This window comes from Homo sapiens, chromosome 15 (assembly GCF_000001405.40).
Source record: "Homo sapiens chromosome 15, GRCh38.p14 Primary Assembly".
In the NCBI taxonomy this organism is placed as follows: domain Eukaryota; kingdom Metazoa; phylum Chordata; class Mammalia; order Primates; family Hominidae; genus Homo; species Homo sapiens.
Window position 1 is genome coordinate 77815427 of NC_000015.10, and position 12592 is coordinate 77828018.

The following is a 12592-nucleotide window of genomic DNA, read 5'->3' on the forward strand; positions in this document are numbered from 1 at the left end:
GCAATGCCAAACAGCCCTCTACCCCTTTTCCTTCATAGCCCTCCTCCGAGGTTACAAAATCCCACTCAAACTCACTCCAGTTATCCACGGAGACAAACAAATGTGTTCACTTTACAGACACAGAAACTGAGGCAGACCCATGGGCCTCAGCGGCTTACTGAAGTGCACACAGTGGCAAGGCCAGTATTGGAGGCTGCATCTATGACTTCAGGACACTTGCCACCTCTGTATGCCCAGGTGGTAGGACTGGTGAATCCTGAGCCCTCGCCGAACTCTGACGACCTAGATCACCCCACCCAGGTCTTCCCAGCACCTGGACAACCCCACCCAAGACCACCAGAGACGTGGTTTATATCGCACATCTAATTGTGTTCCTCCAGAACTTCAACGCTGCAAGCCCTGAATTCAGAATCAGCCCACACTCCTCAGATGGGCACTGAGGATCCTCTTCTGTCTGGTGCCAACCTTCTCCATGCCCCCATGTGAACTACTCCACTGCAAACACGTTCTACCCTTGCCCAGCGCTTCCCACCTCCATGCCTTTGCCAGTGCCGTGCCATCTTCCTAGAAAGCCCCCACTCACGTTCGCATTCTCCATTCACTCATTTAGTCAACAATTATTTACTGAGCATAGATCAAGTGCCGGAAAATCTCAGCAGGTCAAGGCCCCGCCAGTCCCCTCCTTCTGAAACAGCCCCTTGCCACTCCCCCACTGAGCCTCTTGGTTACCCAGCCGGCTTCACTAATACTCAGAGGTATGGGTCCAAATCTGTTTCCCCTTTGAGAGCCCATCCGGGGAGGGGCCCAGGCTCATCACTGGTATCCCCAGCACTCAGTCCAGGTCTCAAGCCAGAAGATACCTCCAAATGTGAAGCGAGGCTCCAGGCCATGGAGAGTAACAGCCAAGGTGTGGTTCCTGGGAACAGGGGTCTGGGCCCCAGAAGCCCACGGAAGAAACTCTGAGACTGGTCAGGGTAGCCCTCAGCCCCCACAAAGCTATGCCTGAGAGGTCAGGGGCAGCTTTTCCACCTTGAGCCACCCCAAGGCCCAGCCCACTCAATAAATTCTTATCACTGGGTTTGTTAGAATATCTTTACAATTTAAAACACAAATATAGCAGGGTCAGGTCTTGCCTGGGGAGGGAAATTAAGGGGGTCACACTGGGCACTGCTCCCTCCCAGTCAGGAGGCTGGGGTGAGGAAGTGGCTGTTTTCCTAAAGGGAGCAGCCAGTAGGGGTGGGGAGCCCCTGGCTGGAATTTTCATCCCCGGCAGAATAGACCAGGGGCCAAATAAGTGCCCCTGGTCTCCCCCTCACCATGGCTTGGGACCCCAAATGAAGGGTTCATTTTGTGGAGTTGGTTGGGGTGGGAGTGGAGGTACCAGAAGAACCGGGGCAGGGGTTCAAGCAGGCATGGATGATAGGGGTGGAACCAAGCTAGGCGTCTTGCCATGCTCCAGCCACCTGGATGTCAACCAGAGCTTTGGTCAACACTCAGGAGGCAAAAGTCTGGAGCTTAGGGAGCCACAGGTGAAGAGGAAGAGGAGCTGAGAGAGAGAGAGAGAAGAAAAAAACAATGGCAAAGAAAGGCCATGATCAGCCAGAGCCAACAAGGGAGGAGCAGGGAGAGGCAGAGAGAGGCCGCCCGGGACGGGGAAGCCAGCAAAGGCTGAGGAGGCCACCGCCAGGATCCAGCAGGCCCAGCCCCACCCCCAGTGGTAACTCCCGGGCAACAGCTCTTACCCCGAAGGCCCTGGGGATGACTCCAGGCTGCCAGCAGGACTGAGGGAAGTCACAGAAGCCTGCCTGGGGCTGACAGCTCTGACCTCCTGTTCTTCAGGTGGGCCACCTGGGGAGGAAGTGGCCACAATAGCCACCAGAGTCCCCTCCAATTCCCCCAGTGCACATTTAGATCTCCACGGGGCATCTTTGGCCCACAGAGGGGCTCTAGGATGGAGAGGGTAGGAAGGCTTTTGGGGCCCAAACACAAGGACAATGCCAGGACCCAGCATAGAGTGCCAGGTTGGGCGGGAGTGATTCGGATCCCTGGGATGGTAGTGAACTCCCAGAGCTGTGCAGAGGATGACAGGAGCCGGGCTTCCAAACCATCAAGCAAAGCACTGACAGCCTCTGGCCCCAAATCCAGGAAGCACATATTTAACCAAGCTAGGGTCAAAAGGTCCCACAGGTCAGGAGCTTTTGTTCAACTGCCTCCAGCTGAGAACAGCCGCCAGCCCAGTAAACGTGCCACACGCAGCAGGAGCCCGCCTGCCAGGTCAATAAAGAAGGCCTGGGTGTCCTCCATGCCTCACCAAAGACCAGGGTCAGCGGATACCCTCGCAGTGGAAAAGGGCTGTCCTAAGACTTAGAAAACTACCTCCATCTCTGCCACAAAATCCTCCTCTGTGAAATGGATAAGCAACTTGCCCACCGGTCCTGCATTCTCACAAAGTGGCTGAGAGATTCCAGAAGGATAATGGAGGTGGAAGTAAGGTTTAAGCCTGAAAGCTGATATTACCATAGACATTACCATACTCCAGAGACCCAGGTAGATACTGACTGGTCCAGCCACCACACCCCTCCACACAGCATCCAGGCTGAGATCAAGACTTCTAACCACACAGGTTCACAGGCGAGTGGCAGGAAAGAAGGCATATGGATGGGGGCTGCTTGGGATCCCAGCAGTTACAACCCCAGGGAAGTCCAAGCTGGAAGGACTCAGGAGCAACCAGAGAAGGCTTCCTAGAGGAGGAAAAACCTGCCCTGGAAACAAGGAGGATGAGGAACCTGCAGGAGTCCTGACCCCAGATCCTTCCTTGGGCCTCTCACTCCAGGAGACACGGGGTTCTCTCCCTCTCAGAGGCACCATCTTGGACCACAGCTTTCCATCCCATCTTCCACAGGACTGGCTGGGTTGGCACTTAGGGGTGTGGGGAGGTTCCCTCAGGCAGCCAGTACAGGTCCAGAGTGTGGGAGGAGACTCACAATGGGAGAGGGTACAAAGCACAGCCACAACCTCAATGTAGAGTGAGGCACGCGGGGGCATGGCTCCAAGCAGGTATGGGGCACCAGGCCGGCAGACCTGGAGACGCCCCCGGCCTCTTGGGAGCTCCTGAGGGTCCAGGTCGGGTGGGGCGCGCCTTGCGGCAAGTTCCCTTCTTCCAGCCACCGTCCTGAGGAGCAGAAGGCGCGGGGACACACACATACACGCCCGGGCACGTCGCCGCACTCCCCCAACTGAACCTTGGTGTCTTCCTCCTGCCTGCAAAGACATCCCAGGCCCTGGGCCTGGGAGCTGTCCCCGCGCGGTCCTGCCTGACCCTAGCGGGGTCATAGTAGTCTGGCGCCCGGAGCGGCTCCAGCGCGGCGCCGCGGGCCTAGGTGGGTGTCCCAGAGAGCGGGCGGCTGCGCGACTGAGGAGCTGGAGGCGCACCCCTCCGCCCGCCAGACGGCCCGGCCCGCGCCCCCGCCCCACTCCCCTCGCGTTCTCTTCTCTGGAAAGGAAGGCCGGAGTTGCACCCTCAAAGCGCCTCCGTCCCCACCCCTCCCGGCCCGCCGCGCCCCAGGGGCTCCACAAACTTGCTGCAAGTCGTCGGGGCTGCAGCTGCAGGTAAGGGTGAGGCGGGGCCGCGGCCTGGGCTGCCGAGCACGCCCCCTCCCAGCCCCAAGCGTGCACGCCCCCCACGGACGCGCACCCAGCACCCCACCCCCGCCGCTGCCCCCGAGGCTCCCGCCCAATCAGAGGCCGCGCGCGCCGCGCCGCCGGCGGGCAGACACACCGGCTCCCCGGCCTGCGCCCCTGCGGCCCTGGCCCCGCTGCAGCGTCCCGGCCCGGCCACACTCACCGTCCCGGGCGCGCCGTCCGCGCGCGGCTCCGCTCCGGGCCGGCATCCCCCGGCTCGGCTGCCTCCGGTCCCCGCTCCGGCCTCGGTTCCCGCTCCGCAGGGCTCGGCTCCGCGATGGTGGCCGCGGCGGCGAGCGCGGCAGGGAGGGCGTGTGTATGCGCGTGAGAGCGCGCAGCGTGTGCATGTGCGTGTGCGCGGGAGGGTCCCGGCTCCCCTGCGCGTCCCGCTCCTGCCTCCTGCTCGCCACGATGCGATGCCGGCAGAATCTCTACCGCGCGCCCCCACTGCCCGGCGCCCACACTCGCGCACACACGCGCACACCCAGGCGCGCACACCCGGCTCCGCACTCCCGACTCGCCCTCCTGGAGCGCTCACAAAGACCCCCTGCCGGGACGGCCGGAGCCTGCGGAGCGCGGCCCTGGGCCCCTCCGGGACCCGCCGGCCTTAGGTGCCCCGCTGCTCCCCGTAGGGACCCCGCGGGCGGCCCGGCTCCCGCACCCTGCCTGGCCGGGCCGCGGCCGCGCTCCCAGCCCGAACCTGGGCCCAGGTGCCGACTCGGGCTTCTCGCACTCCCGCGGGAAGCGCCGGCCCCCTCCGCGGCGCCGCCGCCCTTCTCCCCCCCTTCCAGTCCGGCCTCTCCGGCGCCTCCCTGCCTTGTCCCACCTGCCCAGCCCGGTCCTCGTTCTCCCCGCTGCTCTCCGTCTGTCTCGCCGCCGCCCTCTCCCGCGCCCCTTCCTCCCCACCGCCCTGCGCTGCCTCTCACATTCTCCGCATTACAGCGGGTGCCGCCCGCCGCTCGCGGGGCCCAGGGTTCGAGCGCGCAGTGGGCGGCGAGGGGACCCGCCACGCCCGGCCCCGCCGCCCCCTCCGCTCTCCGCGGCTCCGCGGCTGCTAGCTCCGGCCTGGCGCTAGGGTGGCGACGTCCCGCGCTAGCCTCGGCTGCCGCTGACAGCTCTCATCTCGCCCGGGCTTAAAGGGATAGCGCACCCGGCTCGACCGGCCCCACCCGGGGGCCCCGGGGAAGGGACCTCGCTGCGCGGGAACAGTCCGGGGCGGTGGCACAGCCGGGGCCGTGCGGGCGACGCCCTCTCCGCCGCCGTGGAGCCCGGCCCTCGGGGCTGGAGGTGAGTCAAGGAGAAGGACGGTCAGACCACGCCATCCAGGGGGCGCTCAGCGGCCAAGCCTCTGGGCCGACAATGGGTGTGCGGCGGTGTAGGCTGAGCGCCCTGGACTGCGTGGCGGGGGATGGGGGTCAGTGAAGCTGCCGTCTGAGTCTGAACTCCAGGTGAAGACACCTGTCATGCTGGGAGGACAGGGCTCACGGGCTGGCGTCCCGCTCCTGCTGTGTGACCTTGGGCAAATGCCGACCCCTCTCTGCACCTCAGTTTACCCCCTTTGGGAAGGGCATGGCTTCCATCATTTCTGAGCCCATGCCCAGCTCTGATATGGTGTTAGGTCCCCATAGAAGGGGGAGTCCCAAGGTAGTCCCTCAGCCCCCAGAGTCCCACCTCCTTGCCTGTGAGAGCTGAGGCCACCGCTGAGACTGCAATCCTTGCCACCCCGGACACTCACCAGGACTGGTCTGCCTCCTCCTTCCAACTGCCTCATCAGGGAAACCAGGGAACGAGGTAAAGTTGAGTCAGTACAGGGACCTACCGTTTGCAGAGCTCCCTCACATCCAAGATCTCCCTGGACCCTCATGACACCCCTGGGAAGTAAAGTGCACCCCTACGCTCCCGGTCAGCCTGATCCTGGACAAGTCTAGCACGTGAGCATTTCGTCTTCAGGGCCCCCTCCCCACCCTTACTCCCACCCAGGCTGTCCCTTGCTCTCCAGAGGGATGCATTTTGCCCATTGTTCAGGAAGTTTCTGTCATATGCCCCATCCTGTGCTAGGTCCTGGAGACACAGATGATTTAGACACATTCCTACCTTCAGAAAATAAGAATAAGGGAGGTATGATAGAGCTGTGGTGGGTGGAGGAGGTCCTGGAGGAGGTGACATTGAAGCCAGATAGTGAAGGATGAGTAAGAATTGGCCAGGCAGAAAGGAACACGAAGGGTATCCCATGCCAAAAGAAGAGCATGTGCAAAGACCTGGAAGTGGGAAATGGAGTGATGGGTGTTTTGGAGGGAAGAGAAGCTATAAATCCTTGATTTGAGGAGTTTCGACTTTGTTCTGGGGCAGCAGCAGAGCTGCCACTTGGCAAATCTAGGCAGCAGCCCCCACCCCCACCTTTCAGCCGTCACAGAGGTATGGCTAAGGGCTTCCCAAACCCAGCAGCTTTTGCCAGAGGCCACCCCCTCTTCTGTTTCTCCCCTCTAAGCCCAGACCCACTTCTGCACCCATATCTACAGCCAGACGCAGCACAGCCTCCCCCTGCTGTCCGGAGCTGGAAGTAGGAGAAGCCCAGGCTGCGCTGTGGCTGTGATGTGAGTCCAGGAAGGGCCAGGCTCCTGTACCCACCCATCATGAAGGTGCCCTGTGAAGACCCTAGACTTTGGTATCAGGCAGATCCAGTATCAGTTCCAGCCTCAGTGTCCTCCTTGGTACAATGGGAATAAAAATACATTGCCAGTAACATGACTGGCAAAGAATCCACGAGGGACGATGCTCAGGAATGGCTCAGCACACAGCGGGCATGCGGCAAATGGCCTTTTCTTCCCCGTGTCCGAGCTTGGCTTTGTGGCCCATCCCAAAGTCCCTGTTGTCTCCCCTCTCCCTCTTTCCCTGACCATTTTCCTTCTACCTCCCTACCAGACTTCCTGGGGGTCTCAAGGGAGATGAGCTCATGGCTGTTGCCTGCTCTGGCTCAGCACGCCTCCTGAGGAGTCTTCCCAGGGCTTCCAGGTGAGCCCTAGGGAAGCCACACAGAGACAAACAGCCTTTCCCCAGAGTCTCTGACATCCTTGCAGAGCAGCAATTTCAGCCTGCATCCCCATCCATTTCCCACCATCCAGTTCTCCCGCTTACTTCTGCTGTCTTGGAAGCCACACAGCCTTTGTGTCCGTGCTTGGGAATTTATGCCCAGCTATGCGGTGCAAACTCAAATAGGTGGCACACTTTCTCTGAGCCTTAACTCCCTCCCTAAGTATGGGAGCAAGCTGATATGCACCACAGGGATGACGAACCTGAGTCTATGTCATTTATTTTCCCCAGCAAGTCCAAGCCTAGGCCCTCTATCCAGGAGTTCTGCACAAAGGCAGTCATGTGCAGAGGCCTCTCTGGGGTCCCCTTGTGTCCTGCCCTTGTGCTGGTGGCCAGAGGCTGTTGCCACGTCTTCCTTCCAGCAGGCTTTACAGAGAGGCATGGCATGAATAATGACCAGGCCCACTCTACGGCCAGAGCAGTAGTAGCTGGGGGCCTGGGGCAGGGACCAGGAACAAGACCAGTTGGACAGCTAGCTCCAGGAGGTAGCTCCTCTACCAGGGGCTGGTGGCTGGCTGCTTTCCACCACAGAGGCTGGGTCAGTGCCCCAATAAATGCCTGCCCAGGGCCGCTCTGCTGTTTCCAGCCATCTTCATGGGCCAGTCATGGAGAACTTTGGCAGTGTTCCAGATCTAATCATCACACCAGGTCCAGCCGAGAGACTGAGAGTGGCCCACATGGAATTCGAGGAGGCAGTGGGCATTTCCCACCCACTTCCTCTGAAACCCCTGGTTTCCTAAGCCAGGCTGAAAAGCAGGTCACCAAGTGTTCAGAGAAATGCCCCACCCAGCTGGGCTGTCTCCTTGCTATCTCTAAACACATCCAATCTCCCCACCTCCACGTCTTTCCCCACCTGTCCCCATCACTTTTGGTTTCCACACGTCTCAAGTCCTTCCATCCCTAAGCAGCTGGCGTCAACCACCCCCTCCCCACCCCGATCTCCCTCTTTACTCTTGGCAGAGTGTGGCCAGGAGATTTTCATTCATTGGCTCACCCTCACACTAATCTTGGTGTTATCATTCCCATTTCAGAGAAGAAAAAAGCAAGGCTCAGGGAGAAGTTCCAGGATTTGAACTGAGAGCCAACATTCTTTATTCTTTCCATGAATATGCATTGTGGGCCTACTTCATGCCACACATTGCGCCAGGCATGGGGAATACGTGGTGGAGACCTCAGAGTCCAGATGAGACAGGGAGAAACCAAACCACCATGCAAACAAATGTAAAATGACAACTGGGACAAATGCTGTGACAAGGTCTGTGGGGACCTGGTCTAGTCTGGACTAGGGAGTCAGGAGAGGCTTCTTGCAGGATGTGACATTCAACGTAGCACCAGAAGGTGGAGTAGACAATGACCCAGAGAAGTGGGGACTCCAGAGAGAGGGAACAACGCTTTCAAAGTCCCCATGGTGAGAGGAAAGAGAAAAAGGCCATGTGGCCAGAGCATGAGGAGAGAGGATTAGAGATGGGGGTGCAGGTGGCATGGGTCAGGACAATAGGTTCTAGTGGGACCAGCAAGGAGTTGGGGTTTTAGCCTAGAGGCTCTGGGCTGGCCCTGGAGGTTCAAAGCAGAGGACAGTGCTGCCACTGTTCCTCCAACTGTCACCTCCCAGCCCACCACTCTGCACCCAGGGACCACTTCCACCCTCTTCTCTGATGCCCAGGCCCTGGCACAAGGTGAGACATCCTGGGGAGTCAGACTGGGCAGCTGAGTGGGCGGCCTCGTGAGGGAGCAGGAGGCCTTGGCCCCGCCTCTTGTCAGATGCTAGCTGGATGCCTCCAGGCAGCACTTGCCCCTCTGTGTCCCCCAGAACTATGAAGAATGGACTGATTGTCTTCTGCCGTCTCTGGTTGATCCTGTAACAAGGGAATGGAGAAGATACAGCATGACTCCAACCAGGCCAGATTCCAGGGCCTTGGCCCTGCAGTGAGCAGAGGGGCTGCCTGAGGCCTGCTGCTGGCCTATGCCTTCCCATCCCTCCTCCACCCTTGAGCCTGCCTCACCTGGCTCTTCCCAAGGAGTGCACTCCAGGAAGCTTTCTTCCTCTCTCCACCCCAGACCTCACCTGCACCCTCACCCATGTCTCCACTATCAGCCTGGCAACTGCATCAGATGACTGGGAGTCCCTGTTGGCCTGTCAGTGCTCAGCTGGACTGTTGAGCCTCTGGTTTTCCAGCTGTAGAAGGGTGTCATTCTGTACTCTTCCTGTCTCCCTGGACAGGAGAGGACGGTGTAAACTGGAATTCTTGTCATAACCATCAGCTACTCTGCCAGAGTGCTCCTTGCTGTCAAGCATCCTCCTGAGACCCTGAAGTCAGCACCACCGTGGGCCACAGACATACCAGCTGACCCCATAAAACCTTCCCTGGAAAGTTGTAGCCAGCTGCATCCCCCGAGTAGGACTGTGTCGCCGTCGTGGGCACCAGTGAGCAGAGACAAGATTATAGTGCCCATTAACAGCTGGAAAACTGAGGCTCCAGACAGAAGGGGCTGGCCCAGGCCACCACAGCAAGCCCTCCTACCTCACCCCATCCTAGACTGCCTGGGTGGGTCCAGGGAAGCAGGACTATGTGGGGTGCCATCTCCCATCCCCCAGTGTTCCCTCGCAGGTTCAGAAAGCAGCTGCTCCCTCCCAGGTGACACTGCACCTTGCCATCTGTGTGAGGGGCCTCTTCTCTTGTGTGAGTTGCAGTTTCTGCTTGGGAGGCTGCCTTACCTTGTTAAGGGCCCTGCCTAAAGAGGCAGGGGTGGCCCTGTAGGAGCTGTCCCCAGGTCAGCACAGGGCCTTGAGCTCATGGAGCAGGGGCCAGGCCCACTTGTTGAGAGGGCCGAGGTCAATCCACAGTCTGCCACATCAGCTTTTTCTATACTTAATCACACCTACCTGAAACGTGGGGAGTGCTTTGCTGTCCACAAGTCTAATTGTACGTGTCTTCTCAGGGAAGGCGCCCTACAGCCCAGGGAAGCAGGAACAGGGATTATCGGCATTGTACAGATAAAGAAACCAAGGTGCAGGGTTATGGCCATCTGGACGCTGGATCCCTGCAGTCCAGCGCAGTCACACAACAGGGCCTCAGGAAAGGGTGGTGCTGGAGGCAGCAGGGCAGCAGGAGCTGTGGGTGTCGGGGTTCTGGGCAGAGAGTGATCCTTGCCTGTTACTGAGAGATAGAGATAGGACTGGGCTTGCACTTTGGAAGGCCGAGGAGTGGGATGGGGATGGGTGGTGGGAATTTGGGGACCTGGGAGTATGCATAGTTTGGGGAACTGACTGGCCATGCAGTTCCCACTCACCACGGTGGGCCCTGTGCTGGGCCCATGGGGTCTATCCTTAGGGAACACACAGGCTGTGGGCAGACAGGCACATGGATAGCCATGCACACAGAGGAAGGCCAAGGTTCCAAGTTCTGGAGTGGGCACTGTGTTGGGGTGGGGGCTGGAGGCCAGCAGTGTCACAGAACTGAGAGTTAGGAGTCCATGGAGCCTGGACCTGAGGAAGGGATGGCCTGGCGACGCATCTATGCAGGCATCAGCGGAATCTGGCTCTCCCAGAGAGGCGAGAGGCGATGGTTCGCTGGGCTGGGGAAAAGGGCCTGGGGCATGGGGAGTACCCTGGGGGAGGAAGCATGACTAGGTCCATGTCCCTTCTGAGTCCTCAACTCCCACCAGCCCAGGCCTGGCCCGATGCAGGGGTTCAAGGAGTATGTGCTAGCCACATGGATGTGTTTGAATGCAAGAATGCAAGAAAGAAGAGCAGGGAGAGGGAGAGAGGGAGGGAGGAGGGACCAGCATGAGCACAGACAGAAGCCTATGAAAGTACCTCCACTGTTGGGGAAGGAACAGGATGGTGAGTGGGGTGGGGCTGGAGGGGACCCCCCAGGCCTTTTCAGCAGATTAACTGTTTCCTGGGAGCTGACCCCTGCCAGGCTTCACAACCTTGTTCCAGGGAACCCTCACCCGGACACCTGCTGTGAGCAGTCGTTGGATGCAGCTGCCCCTGGAAGGGCAGGAGTGCTGCAGCCTGAAGGGGCTCCTGGGCAGTGCCCTCCTCCCCTGCTGCTGGGTTGCCAGAGCTGATAGGCCCCAGGTGAGGACCCTCCCCCTGGCGAGGAGGCTGAAGAGAGAGCCTACTTGCCCAAGGCCTTACTCTTCTAGGGACAGCTGCATCCAATGACTGCTCCAAGCATGGGATAAAGGCTGCCCCTCTTGTCCCATCTCAGAAAACCCCTGCAGAGACAGCTCAGATCCAGAGCTCCTCACAGAGACTGCCTCGTAAAGGCGTCATGGCCCAACTCCCCCGGCCCCATCCTGCCTGCCTCCACGCGGATCTCCCTCACAGTCTGCTTCCTGGGGAACCAGCCTGTCCACACTGGCGTCCCCGTTTACCCATGAGGGAACTGAGGCACCAAAGTGTTAAGTGACATGCCCGTTGTGCCCAAGGTTGCCCAGCTGATAAGTGGCAGGTCAGGTCCCAGCTGGGGAAGGAGGAGACCAGGGCCCCAGGCTGGCTGGAGGTGGGTGGGAGAGGTCAGTCCCCAGGTAAGGCTGGCCCGGCCCACAGGCCAGCACTGGAACCCACAGGGACCTCTTCCATCTGCCCCCTCTCCCCATTCCACAGACAGAGAAACAAGTCAGAGAGAACAAGACTTGCCCAGGCTCATGACATCAGTTAATGATGGCCCCAGGAATATTCTCTAGAATATTCTCTCTGCCTCCCAGCCCAGCATAGTTGTTACCTTTGGACAAGAGTGATGTTCACTTTCTGCCTGCCCCCCTTTCCAAACTCTGCACTGGGTCTCAGGGTCATGCGTCTGGCTGGATTGACCCTTACCAAATTTCCCATGGCTGGAATGAGGTGCCTGAGGTTCCCCCAAGCCCTTCACAGAGACCCCTGCAGCTCCCTGAGCTGTCCAGCTCTGGCATGAGGATGGGATGTATTGGGCTGGGTGGGCAGGCAGGCATCTGACTGGCACAGCAGAGCAAACAGACGGGAAGGAAATCAATTTGAGTGTTTGATTAATTTTAATTTTTAATTTTCAGGGAGAGTAATGCACCCCATTTGACACCGCACACTCGCTGTGAGCTGCTGGCATTCACCATTGCTGCTACCACTGCAGCCTGGTGTGCCCAGTGGCTCCCTGCCCTTCTGTCAGGCGAGCCTGTCCCCTGCATGGCAGACTGGCCTTCTGCAAAGCTGGGAGAGAGGGTCCCCTTGCAGGGTCGTCCACCCCTTCCGCCTAGGAGAAAAGGGTCTACTAAGTTCCCTCTGTGTGAGATGAGTAGGGCCAAAAATGTGTTCCCTTGGGGAAGAGCCCAGTTGGACAATGTCTATTCTAAAGTCAGGGTGTGTGAATGGACTCTCAGACTTGGTGGCAGACCAGTTTAAGGGGCAAGGGAGACTCTAAGCACACCTCGTCCCGCAGGTACTGAGTAGTTGCCCAGCCTACCTACATTCATGGATGGCCCTATACTTAGAGTCAGGTCTGTCTTAAAACTGGAACAGTCCTAGCTCTGTGTCCTGCCACTTTGAGAGTCAAAGCTCTGCTGTCTCTTTGTTTATTTGGAACTTGACCATGCATGGGCTGGGGAAAGATGGCCTGACCTGGGAGAGACTAAGTCTCCCCCTCAACTCTGTGGCTTCTCTCCCACTGCCAGGGCCCAATCCCTGAGAGCAGTGTCCTATGAGGTTGACAGCAGAGGCCCTGGAATGAGGCAGGCCTGGCCAGAACTGTGGCCCTGCCACTTGTTAGCTGTGTGACCTTGGGGAAGTCACATGTTCTTGTTGAGTATAGCCTTCAGGGACCCTTCCAACTCTTCTCCTTCA

General features: G+C 59.2%; 1 protein-coding gene across 7 annotated transcripts in view, besides 2 other annotated features; it reads right to left on the bottom strand.

The window, feature by feature from the left end:
* Positions 1-5474, bottom strand: part of LINGO1 (leucine rich repeat and Ig domain containing 1) — a 207874-nt gene extending 202400 nt beyond the window's left edge. For 4 of the 7 annotated variants that reach the window (NM_001301194.2, NM_001301192.2, NM_001301191.2 and 1 more), the window contains exon 1: positions 3845-4026. The gene's annotated coding sequence lies outside the window, so the exon portion shown is untranslated. Of the gene's footprint in view, positions 1-3844; positions 4027-4607; positions 4776-4831; positions 4907-5416 lie in introns of those variants that run through there. The other 3 variants (NM_001301186.2, NM_001301187.2, NM_001301189.2) reach the window with 3 other exon arrangements.
* Positions 2502-3136: an enhancer, noted in NCBI's record as "H3K27ac-H3K4me1 hESC enhancer chr15:78110270-78110904 (GRCh37/hg19 assembly coordinates)". NCBI's record gives its function as "activates a minimal SCP1, AML or CMV promoter by ChIP-STARR-seq in primed H9 embryonic stem cells {active_cell/tissue: H9 hESC(primed)}" and the evidence as "EXISTENCE:reporter gene assay evidence [ECO:0000049][PMID:30033119]".
* Positions 3137-3771: an enhancer, noted in NCBI's record as "H3K27ac-H3K4me1 hESC enhancer chr15:78110905-78111539 (GRCh37/hg19 assembly coordinates)". NCBI's record gives its function as "activates a minimal SCP1, AML or CMV promoter by ChIP-STARR-seq in primed H9 embryonic stem cells {active_cell/tissue: H9 hESC(primed)}" and the evidence as "EXISTENCE:reporter gene assay evidence [ECO:0000049][PMID:30033119]".
* Positions 5475-12592: the final 7118 nt, after the last annotated feature.